Raw genomic sequence first — 13,683 nt, 5'->3', positions numbered from 1 at the left:
CGTACAACATTTCAGGGTCCAAGAAGCATGATGACCACGGCTTTATATGACATAAACTCCTCCACAACCCCCTGAGAGACAAGTGTCACTGTCACATGTGTGGAGAAGACAAGTGACCAGAGTAAGAGGTGGAACCAGGTCTCTAACTTAGCTTCTGCCACCAGAAATTCCATGTCTATGCCATGACCACATCTTAGGAAACCTTCCCTCTAAATGTTAATAATGGCAACTGCAAAATGGGAATTACCATCGAATTAAGCGTTTATTGGTAGAGAAATAAGTTGTTTTAACTTCATTCTATACTAAATAGCATAAACATTGAAATTATAATTGCCATGATGATTATCTACTGAATGCAAAGAAAGAAATGACACTGGAACAAAAGCATACAAGAGTTTACAGGCGAAGAGGCTGAAGATGCCTCCCAAGGGAAAAGCCTATCTGTTTGTGCAGGTTTGGACAATCAATCCAGTCTCTGTAAATAATTAACCTACCTAGTGTTTGGCCTGGCAATTTTGCAATAGTTTGAGGCACTCTAATGTTTGTACTACATACCTAAATGTCCAAGGGCAAACAGGCAAAGTCTACAAAGTTCTGTGTTTTGCTAGGGTTACGGGAAAGCAGGTGGCATTTGTTGTTACCTATCTGTGGACAAACATGGCAGTATACTCCATGTGGGCAACCCTTTCTTGTGACACGCATGCACAAGGATCCGCAGACTTGCCCGGGCTGCCCCAAGGCCCAGGAATGCATATTCTAGCCCTAAAATTACTGGTATGCTCATTGGGCATTGCTAGGGGGTGTCACTGGATGGAGAACGACATGGCAGGGTCAAATACTGCATTTAATAACATTTCAAAGAACAACAAAGCCAAGAAAAAGCCATGTCAACCCAGATGAGAGGAAATGTCTCTCCCAGAAGTGTCCCTCAACTGGAAGAGTCATAGCCAAGGCCCAAATCTGCTGTCTGAGAATGAGGAACCAACCAGGCACCCTAGTAAATAACCTGGAAACCCCAGATCTCATGGGCCTGGGCTGTTCCAGTTTTTCTAGCTCATCCCAAGTCCATTCTTCTCAAGCTCTGAGTAGGTTTTTGCAACAAAAAGATCTGAACCCAGAGAGGCCAGCTGATGGCTGGGTCAACATATCCTCCCAGACCAGCCAGCTGGATCACCCTGGATAGCCAGCCAGAGCCAAACTAAGACCAAGTTCAGCAACACAGCCCATCATAAAGAGGCTCTTTTCCTATTACCTGGTGTGGCTTTAGCAAACTGCAGCTGGCCAGATCTCCCTTCCAGGGCAGGTATGTGCTGTATCTGGCCAGATCTCCCTTCCAGGGCAGGTATGTGCTGTATCTGCAGTCCATTCCCCACCGGTTCTGTACCAGGGAGGCCAGTCCAAGGACTCTACCAACAGGGTCCTGGGCCTCCTACTTCCGGCCAGGTTTGGCCAATGGGGAGCGGGAGCAGGGGCCAGTAGCGAGGGAGGAGAGCATTCCCAGTTCCTCTTTGCATGGTTGCTGCGGACTGGCTGCGTCTCCCGGCTGAAGGTGGTGAATCCTATCAGGCAGCCCTCTCTGTTCCCTGGTTCTAGGGCCCATTCCCACTGTGGCTGCCCCAAGTGCCACACCAGCCTGGAGATGCCCTGTGCCTGCCCCTGTCTTTCAAATAGTCCAAGCATCATAAGGGCTCCTGAACTCACCCCCTTAGAGTGTGCCCTCCGCTCTCAGCCCAGGCTGTGATACATGCACAGCCCCCTGGAGACCCACTCTACCTCCACTACTGCACCCTCACTTGATGGCCAACAGTGGCCAGACTCCACACGACCACTTCCGAGGTGCCCTCCTGCCAGCCCCTGACCATGCAACTTGCTTTCCTCAGGGCCCCTGTGGATCACAGGGCTCCCACCTGCCTCCTGGGCTGTGTGTCACACTCCATTGTCAGACCACCTTTGGAGACAGGGATCGGGTCCTATCGCCCTCCCTTTGCAGCTCCACTGCCCACAGGGGGCCTGGAGGGAGCACTGGCCCCTGTGATTGGACTCTGACTCCTCTCACAGTTTTTGCTGAAGAATTCCCTCTTTCTGCCATGTTCCTCGTCCCTTTCCCCTCAACCCCATCCCTCATCCTTCCATAACCGAATCTGAAGCATCGCACAAGGCCCAGAGAAACACAGTATGCCTGGCTTTGCTTCCTCTCAAACCCACTGTGGCCGCAGTCAGGCCTTCTGGCGTGAGGACTCACTTCCTGCCACAGCCTGCATTCCTCTGGTGATAAGTCAGACTCAGATGTTGATATGGTTTGGGTATCTGTCCCTGCCAAATCTCATGCTGAAATGTAATCCTAGTGTTGGAGATGGGGTCTGGTGGAAGGTGTGTGGGTCAAGCAGGTGGATACCTCATGGCTTGGTGCTATCCTTTCTCGCGATAGTCAGAGTTCTCGCAAGATCCAGTTGTTTTAAAGTGTGTGGCACCTTCCCCCCACCCCCTTGCTCCTGCTCTCGCCATGTGACATGTATGTTCATGTTTTGCCTTCTGCTATGAGTAAAAGCTCCCTGAGCCCTTCCCAGAAGCCAAGCAGATGCTGGTGCCTGTTGGTACAGCCTGTAGAACTGTGAGCCAATTAAACCTCTTTTCTTTATAAATAACCCAGTCTCTGATATTCCTTTATAGCAGTGCAAGAACAGCTTAATGCAGATGTATTTATGCCCCCACCAGGGTCCCCTCCCACTCCCCAGCAGGAATTAGGGCCTGTTCTGCCCAGACAGCCCTGCTGACAGTGAGCGCACCACACAGCAGCACTTCCCCGGGAGAGGCCAAAGGGCGAGGGTTCTCAGCAACCCCTGCCCACTCCAGAACCTGGAATTCAGGTATGCAGTGAAGACAGCGCCAGATCATGAGTCCCTCAGGAATCTGGATCTTCCCCACCTACAAGGCTAGCTCAGAGCTCCATCTAGTAGGACACAGGAATGTCTTCTGCCCAGAACAGGCACTAACTTAATACACAGGCTGAAAAATAAATGAAATGGGAAAATCTACAGACAGCGGGTAGACTGGTAGTTGCCTAGGGTTTGGGGGTTGAGGAGAAATGGGGAGTGTTAACTGATGGGGATGGGTTTCTCTTGAGGGAGATAAAAATATTCTAATATTGATTATAGTAATCGTTACAGGACTGTGAGTATACTGAAAACCACTGTTCACTAAACAAGTGAATTGTGTTATGTGAAATATATCTCAATAAAGCTATTATACAGTGAAGGAAAAAATAAGCCATGTTTTTCACCAAGCATTTGTGAGCACATGTATATAGATACACATATAGACAGTGTGTGTGTGTGATGTATGTATATGTTCTTTCTTTTGCTTACTCAAATCAACAACATAATTTCCATCACTTTAAATATGCATCCTGCCCTGTCATGCTGACATAAACCCACTGAGCTGCTTCTGTCTTTTCCAGATGAATAAAACTAGAGGAAACAATTGTGTTCATTTTTTTCATGAGTGATAACTTGCCTCCAGATGCTCCTCACACCTACCCTTCACCCTACTCTAACCCTCCCTCCCAGAAAGAGATCCCCCCAAAAATGGCTCATCACAGAGTAACAGGCTGCCAGACAAAGGGCTGCTCAGCCTTACCGAGCACCTACTTTGCACAAGGCCCGTGGCCAACGACATCAGGAATAGAATTTCAGTTATTTCTTGCACACCTGGATTAGGGTTCTCACCCCATTTTACTGCTGAAGCAGAAAGACAGATTGACCTATCACTGGTTGAAGTCATGCAGACCCTACATGGAGTTGCTGGAATTCAGGACGAGGACCACCTGATGCCAGGCCCAACCTTTGTTACCCCTGCTACTGCTGACCAGGGTTTCGGTCACTTAACTGCATGGCTTGATGCCCAGTCAGCCTCAGGAACAAAGACAAAAAATTGACAGGCTTCCCAACTCCAGCAGCAAGCCTGGTCCTGCTTCCACAGTGAGCTCTCAGCTGGTCCTGGCCACGCTTCCTCCTGGGCACCCTCTGGGCTGTGCCTGTCTGGTGTCTGTGCCCCAACTCTGGGCTGCACCTGCCTTCAGTCCTGACTGCAGAGTAGGACTAGGGTGAAAATGCTCTTGTCCTGCCTGGCCCCAGACACAGCTCTCTCCACAGGTTCAGAGCCTACCCAAAGATCACACAGATGGCAGCTGGATCCCAGCTCAGCCACCTTCTGGCTGCCCGACTCTGGCATGTTACTTTAGTGGCCCCTGTGTTCTTGTCTGTAATCCCAGCTCCTAGGCAGTGCTGTTCTGAAGACTGAATGAGATCAAATAGCTCCAACAGCGAAGAGCTATTCTTAAGGTGTCAAAATAAGAAGACTATCTCTTGCTAAAGCTAATATTCATCAGCCTTCATTCCCGGTTTTCAGGGGAGGAAACCTAGGAGGAGCAATTTTCCCAGGGTGAAACAGTTTGCAAATTCCACAAATGGGATTTGAACCCAGGTAGCCTGGTCCTAAATGTTTGATTGCCTCACCTCCCGGAGGGCTGTGGAGTATGGAGTTGGTGTGAAGATGCTCACACCAGCACCCACACGCTGCCTTGGCCCCTGGCCATGGGGTGGACACAGGTACACCCCTGCTGTGGCTCCGCAGCAGGAACTCAAGGTGAATATCTGGCAGTCATTGCCAGGATCACATCCAAACAGAAAGCCACCTACAGACTTCAGGAAAGCATGTCTCCTCTCCAGCCTGGTACCCAGATGTTTGGGGCCTGAAGCCAGTTCACATGTTTGCTACTCCATGGAGTCTCCCAAAGAGTGGTGCTTATGCCTCTTGTGTCAGAATTTCCCAGGGTACATGTAAAAATATAGACGTCCAGCCCCCACCTGCTGACCTACTCAATTTGGAGTAGGTGGTGAGAGTTTTGGCATTTTCTTGTATTTCCCAATGACCCCGATGAGACCTGCTGCCACTGCCCAGCCCTGCAGAGGCTGAGCCCCTCTGCACCACCACTGCACATGCTGTTCAGTGAAGGGGGACTCACTGCCTCGTGAAAGAGCCACGCTCTGACCATCAGGCAGGTCTCCACAACATGCACCCCACAACCTTCTGAACTGTCCTCTCACGAGGCATGGCTCCCACTCCCTGCACCCCCAGCATAGGTCTCCTCCATCCCCGGACAGTGCCTGGCTTGCATGCTGCTGAGGAGGGCCCTCCGAGGGCCATACGGCGTGTGGGTGTCTGTGGCAGCCCCCGTCAGATGCTTGCTGAAGACTTCTTCCTCCTCTAAATCCCCCACCCCCAGAAAGCAGAAAGGGCTCGTCTTGCCTGTGCGGCCCAGAGGTAGTCCAGCCTCAGCCTGATGTCCACCTGCCTGGCATGCAGGGCCAGCGCACAGGAGAAGAGCAGGATGGCCACAATCGGCTCGTAGCTGCGCCCGGAGACGGCACCACCCCTGGGGGAAGATGAGGAAGAAAAGCCAAGTCAGTGCCGAGCTTCCAGGGCAAGACTCTGCCACCAAACCCAAGAACTGTTCAGAGTGACCCTCAGGTGGTGACACCCAAAAACAGCTTGCTGGGATTGACCTTGGCCAAGAATCACTTATCATAGGGAAATCTGAGTCCTTGCTAGAACTTGGGTTGAAGAGAAGCAGCCACCAAACTAAAAATTGTGTATACAATTCAACTTGACTAGTTCTGGACTCAGAAGCCTGTAGTGCATATCTGTATACACAGATTCAGTAGCACCGCTGCTTAGGCCTTTTTCTTGAGGAGCCACACACTTACCCAGTCCTGGTGTATCCGCTGAGCTCCAGAACGAGGATGTAGGACGTGGTGAGCCCGGAGAGCAGGATCATTTTTGGCAAGGAGGACACCCGGAAAAATATGGCTAGCGGGAGGGTGCCCACCAGGCAGCAGAGCAGGGCATGGTGTGTAGACTCGCAGGGCAGGGTGGGCAGGGCTGTGCGCTGGCCCCCAGACGAAAGGACCACCAGGGAACTGTTGGGCTTGGAGCTCCAGGCCCAAGGCAGGCAGCCCACCTGGGAAGGGAGGGGTCACAGGGGCTTAGCAAAGGGCAGGTGAAGACCTGCAGCCCCTAAGCATGCTCAGGTGTCCCTCTTCAAGCAGGTCTCCCAAGGTTTTGCTCTGACCCACCCCCAGTGCTATCACACCAAGCCACAGACCTCATGGCAACTCACAGCACTTCAAGGCTCCCCACTGGCTGCCAGAGCAGGCAAGAGGCTCCAGGGAGGACCAGGTGGGATCAGCCCTGCCTGCTCCCCAGCCCAGCGGCTCCAACCTGTTACTCCTGCCCCCAGCTCCAACCTGTTACTCCTGCCCCAGCTCCATCCTGTTCCTCCTGCCCCCGGCTCTGTCCTGTTAATCATGCACCCAGCTCTGTCCTGTTCCTCCTGCCCCCAGCTCTGTCCTGTTAATCATGCCCCTAGCTCCGTCCTGTTCCTCCTGCCCCCAGCTCTGTCCTTCCTGTTTCTCCTGCCTCCAGCTCCATCTTGTTACTCCTGCCCCACTTCTATCCTGTTACTCCCACTACAAACTCCATCCTGTTACTCCCACCCACTTCCATCCTTTCACTCCAAGCCCCAGCTCCATCCTGTTCCTCCTGGCCCAGCTTCATCCTGTTACTGCTGCCCAGCTCCATCCTGTTCCTCCTGCCCTGTCTGTCCTGTTTTTCCACCCCTGCTTCTGTCCTCTGCACCGTATGAAGAAGCCAGGCTCCTTTCACCAGGGAGAATTTGCATTTTCCTCTGCTAAGTAAAGTCTCTTGTTCCCTGGCTCCTTGGGGCCCCATGCCTGTTACTGACGTCTCTGATGACCTCCCTGTCTCTGCAGCCCTGGGTCCTGGCTTCTGGGCTGGTCCTCCATGCCATGCCCTCTCCCGCCCCAGCGCATGCCACAAGCTGGAGATGCTCACCACACAACCTTGGGCTACTGAGTAGATTAAGACCACTATGAAAATACACAGGACAGTGCGAATCTGAATCGTCAGGCACCCTGGAAAACACTGAATAAGAAATGTTAATTTAGAAAATACCCTCTGATTACCAAGGTGATTCACGTGCACAGTTAATACTTCCTATAGTGGAATGTGCAGATGACCTGCAAGCTGCTAGGTCCACATCCGTTTTTCACCCTCCTCACATGTCTCTTGGCTTTTTTCATTTGTTTATTCTCCCAGGTGAAAAGCTTGCCAAAGTTAAAAAAAGAAACCTGAAGTCTTTAAATTACAAAGAATAATACTTCCCTTCCTTCCACTTGCATTGTAACTTTGATTGGCACTGAAGTTAACTGGATAGATTAACTTGGTATTTTCATTATATTGAATTCTTCCATTTCAGAAATGGTACAAATTTCCATTCATTTGTGTCTTCTTTGATATGCTCTAAATAAATTTTATTATTTTGTTCACGTAGGTTTTATAGAGTTATTAGAAATTTTATTTTAAATCTATGTATTATACAGACATTTTGAAATCTTCAAAAAGTGATTTCACGGATAAAAGAAGTCCTTTTTACACTTAACACTTCTGAAAGTATAAATATAAACTAAAATTAATACGCAGGGACCTTACAGAAAACAACTCACCCTGCTAGAGTCCCCGACTAGTCGGGGTGCCCTTCGCCGGCTACACGGTTATTCCTTTAACCCCCACATGAGGTCAGATCATTACTAACTCCGCTCTACAGTTGAGAAAAAGGTGGCACAAATCCACCCAGTCCAGCATCACTTCTTCTATGGACAAGGACAAGGCAGTGTGTCCCAGCTTACCCAGCTGGTGGGTTATGGATCTAGGATCCAGTTCTAGGTTTCCCAAGTCCCAAGATACCATTGGGTATTTCACCAACCCAGTGGTCTCTGCTGATCTCAGAAGAACCGCTGCTCTGCAGCGGTGTGAGGCTCAAACACTTTACTGACCGTGAATCACTGCACTTCCCTCCCAGTCCCAACCTGGCCTCTGGGCAAGACGCAGGTGCAAGTCCTTGATCCCCACTGCAGCCTCCCATCATCTGCTTCCCCCGCTTCCACCTGGCGTGAGCTCGGTGTGCTAAGGGAGGCCACCAGAGCCACTGGCAGGCCCCCATGCGGGAGCCATACCACAGGCCTGGGAACAGGATTTTAGAGCAAGATCCTGCCATCTTTTGCAGGTAACTATTCTCCTTTTGAGAAAGCCTCTTGGCCTGCCGCTGGGCCTGAGTAGAGCCTGAACCCCTACCTGTGGGCCAAGTTACCGCATGACCTGAGCTGCCCATCATGAACTGGGCGTTACCTGACCCACCAAGCCATAAAGCTGGGTGTGAACAGCAGCCCTCCATCATCAAATGAAAGTGCTAATATATATGATCAGCTCCGAGCAGACCCTTAAGGCACAAGTAAGTGACACGACAAAATGGCCCCAATGACCATAGTCCCCAGTCCTGCTACCCTGCCTTCTCTCTCCCAGCCTGTACCTATGGCCTCATGGGGAGCTCCCTCTGATTAGGTGACAGAGTAAGAGAAGCTCAGGCCTTGTGGGCAGCTGCAGCACTTCAGCCCAAATGACACAGCCCTGAGGGACAATGGTGAAGGGAAATCCTCCCATTGGGCAGAACTTTGGGCAGTTCCCCTGGGTGGGTACTTTGTTTCCAAGGAGAAATGGTGAGATGTAGTCATATACTGATTCATAAGCTGTGGACAACGGTTTGGCTGGATGTTCAGGGAGTTGGGAAAGACATGGTTGGAAAATTAATGACAAGGGGGTCTGGGGGAAAAGTATGTAGATAAACCTCTCCAAGTGGGTGAAAAATGTTAAGATACTGTGTCCCATATGAATGTTCACTAAAGGGTGACCTAAGCAGCGGAGAATTCAAATCCAGTGGATAGGACAACCCCTACTGTGGACACCAGTCATTCTATTTCCTCGGCCACTCCTGTCATCCCAATGGGCTCATGAACAAAGTGGCCATTGTGGCACTTCGGGAGATGATGTCAACTGAGGATGAGAGGGAGAAAAAGCAGGCACCATTTCCTGACCGTCTGCACTCACAGGGGCTAGAATGAAGCCCTCGGGCTGTCTCTGATGGTGCTACACTCCCCTCTGTGCGGTGAGGCTCCCTTCCCCCTACCTTAAGGATCTCTGCCAAGGTTTTCTCTTTTCTTCAAAGCCACCTAGTTTAACTCGAGTATCATAACTGGTGAAAATCTTCCTTCCACCACCTACCACCTTCCACACCTTGGCTTGGGGACCTATGATGGGATGCGGCCTCTACCCTAGCCAGCCTGGGTGGGCCCAACACCCTCCTGAGCCTGTCCCATCTGCCTCTCTTAGAGCCCTAGGACGGCGAGAAGGAGGATGGGGAAAACAGGGCTGAAATGCAGGTCTGTGAGCACCAGGCCAGGGTGGGAGAAGCAGAAGCAGCTTATCCGAGGCACACCCAGCCACCTTGTGGACCACATTGTGCCCACATCCCCAGGGTCCAGCCAAGGGCCTCTGAATGTGCCTGACGCCTTGACCTCGGCCTGCCCCACCTGCAGCACCCCGGGGTCCAGCCAGTGCACACCTCCTGGGCTTCCTCCTCTCCTCTGCCCGCTCCTGATGTTCTCCAGGCCTAGCCATGCAAACCTCAGCCTGCAACCCTGACAGAAAAAGTCCACATCCTGCCCCAGACATTCCTTTTCAACCCTCAGCAGGACCCTCGGGTCAGCTCTGCCGCCCTCTGCAGATGGTCAAGATGGACAGGATTAGGCACCTCCCCACCCTGATTCCCGGGATGAGCTACACCCACTGCCCCACCCCCATGCAGCTTCTCTGTCTCATCTGACTTCAGAACACTCCAACTGAGCGTGTGCTGTGCCAGGCTCTGCTCCACAGACTTTGTGCAAATGAGCTCACTGAATCCTCATGTCAAGCCAGTGAGGTGGGGGCCATCATCACCGCCATTTCACAGAGGGCAACCCTGAGGCCCAGACAACTGGAGCCCAAGCCTGGAGTTGACATACCCCCGAGGGATGGGGATGGGGAAACCAGATAGGGGTGAAGGTCCCAAGGGGCCATGGAACTGCCACACTGCCCTGGGCACCCTGGCTCTGGACACTGTCAATGTCGGGGAGGGAAACATTTCTACCCGGCCTTCTCAAGGATGTGTTCTGGAACTAACTCCGTCTGCATGACCCACCGCGTCCACTCAGGCCACAATGGCCTTCTGCTGGGTGGCCCTGACCTATCCCCTGCTGGCTTCCTGCAAACCTCCCTCACCTCCATTCCCACAGCCATTTGCACAGGCCTCTTCCCTGGCCCAGGGTCAGCAGGGATGCTCAGAGCCCGGTGCAGAGCCTGCGAACAGGAGCCTAAATACTTGTGATTCAATCAAACCCTGACCCAGTACACACTGGCTGTGAGCTGAATCCCCTCTCCTGTCCTAGCTGAGAAGTCTGGGCACTTAGTCTCCACTCTGCTTCTTCCACAACAGCCGCAAGCACCACTGATGGCACTCCCAGGAAAGCTGGACCCCCACTGCTTTTCGAACCTAGCACCTCCAAACCACACACTTAGGAAAAAACGCTCTATGCTTGCTCACAGAAGAGGGTGAGAAGGGAGAGTGAATATTCAGAAGGAAAGGAGCTAGTGGCATCCAGGGCAGAGTCCACCAAGAGAACAAAACACTGGAATACAGAAGAAGCTTCATGGGATAACTGCAGGCTAGCCTCCTTTAATGTCAGCACCTGGAATTATTCTGGCCAAAGTTCCCAGCCATGAGGGCAGCTCCCTTATTAACAAAAGGGGGGTAATTCTGGGCAGATGACTTAGCGCCCCAATCCCACAGATCATGTGTTTTTTAGAACCGAGAGTTTTCTTAATTTGAATATTATTTTTATGGACAGATTGGGTGCAGATTTTGCTTCCTGGTTTCATGAGCACATCCCTTAGCCTGCCTGAGCCCACTTTCCTCACATGTGGGAAAGGGGCTGACCCGTCTCACCACCTGGCTTGGGAGGCTCTCGTGGAGTCACAGAAAGCAGTGTACATCCACTCGCAAGAATCAGTATTCCTGGGCCAGGACCTTTGGGCAGAGCTTTCCAGGCTGGCGCATTCCTTGGCTTCTGCTTTGTCATCGCTCTTCTTGCCCAATGGCTTTTCACACTTTCTGCATGTCTAATGCTATTTGTACACCATTGGGTGGGCACACTGGTTCCCACCACTGAGGACTAAGGAATAGGCTTTAAAAACTATCATCCTTCTGTCCTGCTTTCACTTGAAATTATATGAAAAACAGCAGTTTTACTTGAAGTGGTAAATTTTAAAATTTGTCAAACCAAATGTCACTCAATCTATACAAGTCAAAGAAATAGGAATGAAGTTTTAATAGTTAGCATTTTTTTAATTTAAAAACTCAAGATATTACCTATGAATAATGACAAAGTTAAATGAATGAAACTAGATTTAATCTTTTCAAAAAGTTGCTGTTTTCAGTAATTATGCAAATATAACACTGGGTCTGCCAGAAGTGACATCCTGGGGTCGGCTGAGGGAAACGAGTCGTTTAGAAATGAAGGTGGAGAATGTGATGAAGGAATGCAGGACTAGGAACTATACAGTCCTCCAAGTGAGCCACAGATAGTACAAGGCCGCAAAGCTCACGTCTTTCCTGCAAAAGCCCACAGAGCAAAGCAGATGAGGCATCAGGGCCCAGATAGCACAATGTACCTGGAAAATGTCACCCCTCTCCAAAGTCTGTGACATAAACACAGAATAAACATCCCTCTTCTGTCCTGCTGCTAGACTCTCCATTCCAAGAGAACAGGATCAGTATCTTGTGCTCATTTGTTTAATCAATATCAATCGCCAGTCTATTGTGCCCACCAGGTACACTCCCAAAGGAGTGCATGTGCCCAGTGCAGAACTGGGTCTTCATGAGCACCTGCTATATGAGCAGACTCTTTCTTCCTGTCTAGGCAGGGGAGGGAACAGAACTGCCTCCCCTATCCCACCCCATCCCACCCAGAGGGCAGGCAGAGGCCACCCTCATACCTGGACCAGGTGATATGCAGGTACAGGACACAGGCCACCCACATACCTGAACAAGGTGATATGCAGGTATAGGACACAGGCCACCCTCATACCTGGACCAGGTGATATGCAGGTGCAGGATACAGGCCACTCACATACATGAACCAGGTGATATGCAGGTACAGGACACAGGCCACCCACATACCTGGACCCGGGTGATGTGCAGGTACAGGACACAGGCCACCAGGAAGCAGATGCAGAATACTAGCAGGAGCAGGACGACCACACTCCTGGGGGACAGAAAACATGAGAGTCACTGATAGGTGGGGATTAGGAGAGGCGGACCCAAGAGATGGCTGAGAATTGGCCCCTCCCTCCACATCCCCTGTGCTCTCAGGAGGAAGCAGCATCGTTAACCTGGATGCCTGCCACTCAGGTCTCTGGGAACTGACATGGCTGGTTCTATTTTTTAGGGCAGGGCATCTGGGGTTCCTGAGTAAGAAGGGGGCCCCTCCTGAGTCTACCTCCCACTTCTCCTACCCCCACCGCAGAGATCTAGCTTAGGCTGAGAATCACAGAACTTTTCTGGAAGCCGTTTTCCTCATGATGGAAAGACAAGAGTTTCCCAGACTTTGCTGAGCTATTCTCTAGCTGGGCTTTGTCTGGGAAGGGCATTTTTAGAAAACGCTTAAATCCCAAATAGGCCCATGAGGCAGGCTGCTGTGTTCAGTGTCTGTGGGCTGGGCAGGATGCAGAGCACCCAGGGCTGAACTCCCTCCTCCTCCGCAGGTGTGGGGTGGCCTCCATGTGCTTTCAAACTCAGAGGAGGTAGTATTCCCGTAGGTAGGTTTTATTAAGAAATGAGTACACTTGAAAGTAAAGTGGCAAGTGCAGACTCAGTGGTGTCTTTCTTGCAAAAAAAATAAAATAAAATAAAAGCTGCCAAACTCACATTTACTTATATGATGTTTAAATGTTATTTAAACTACTGTTTTTCTTCCTTTTAAGAGGGATTTTAAGTTTTTGAAAATGACATGGATTTAGAAGCCAATGAGCTCATTAAGTGCAGTTTCTTCTCAAAAGTTATTGTTATTATTATTATTATTATTTTTAGAGACAAAGTCTCACTATGTCATCCAGGCTGGAGTGTAGTGGTGAGATCATAGCTCACTGCAGCTTAGACTCCTGAGCTCAAGGGATCCTCCTGCCTCAGCTTCCTGAGTAGCTGGGACTACTACAAGCAAGTGCTGCCATGCCTGGCTAATTTTTTTTTTTTTTTTTTTTGTAGATAGAGTGTTGCTATATTGCTCAGGCTGGTCTTGAACTACTGGCCTCAAATAATCCTCCTGCTTCAGCCTCCCAAAGTGCTGGGGTTACAGGTATGAGCCACTACACCCAGCCAAAAGCTATTATTACAGCAATGGTGCATGTTGCATGGATGAAAAAGCATGAAAATATATTGTGTCTTAGAATTAAGTAAATTCAAAATTTAAAATGGAAAGTGACCAGTCCCATGCCATATACCATCAAGGCTTGTTACACTACTGACTTGAGAAAATGAGGAAATGATGGCTGGCTAATGTCAGCCATGTTGGGCACATTGGGACAATAACTGTGGGAGACGAAGCTTGAGCATACAACAGAAACACAACCACGAACCCCAGAAACACAACCACGAACCCCAGAAACCGGGACTTCTTG

The 13,683-nt window shown here is 50.5% G+C and overlaps 1 protein-coding gene across 2 annotated transcripts in view, besides 1 other annotated feature; it reads right to left on the bottom strand.

Annotated features, from left to right (window-relative positions):
* The window catches only part of ADCY1 (adenylate cyclase 1), a 148,977-nt gene that overhangs the window by 31,136 nt on the left and 104,158 nt on the right, over positions 1-13,683 (bottom strand). For both annotated transcript variants that reach the window (NM_021116.4, XM_005249584.4), the window contains exons 11-14: positions 12,188-12,272; positions 6,913-7,002; positions 5,766-6,019; positions 5,308-5,434 (exon numbers count right to left, since the gene is read on the bottom strand). In NM_021116.4, coding sequence (NP_066939.1) covers positions 5,308-5,434; positions 5,766-6,019; positions 6,913-7,002; positions 12,188-12,272 — 556 coding nt within the window. The remainder of the gene's footprint in view (positions 1-5,307; positions 5,435-5,765; positions 6,020-6,912; positions 7,003-12,187; positions 12,273-13,683) is intronic.
* Positions 5,296-5,797: an enhancer, noted in NCBI's record as "H3K4me1 hESC enhancer chr7:45725783-45726284 (GRCh37/hg19 assembly coordinates)". NCBI's record gives its function as "activates a minimal SCP1, AML or CMV promoter by ChIP-STARR-seq in primed H9 embryonic stem cells {active_cell/tissue: H9 hESC(primed)}" and the evidence as "EXISTENCE:reporter gene assay evidence [ECO:0000049][PMID:30033119]".

This window comes from Homo sapiens, chromosome 7 (genome assembly GCF_000001405.40).
Source record: "Homo sapiens chromosome 7, GRCh38.p14 Primary Assembly".
NCBI lineage: Eukaryota > Metazoa > Chordata > Mammalia > Primates > Hominidae > Homo > Homo sapiens.
The sequence above is the reverse complement of the archived record's forward strand: the minus strand, read 5'-3'. Positions and strand labels throughout refer to the sequence as shown.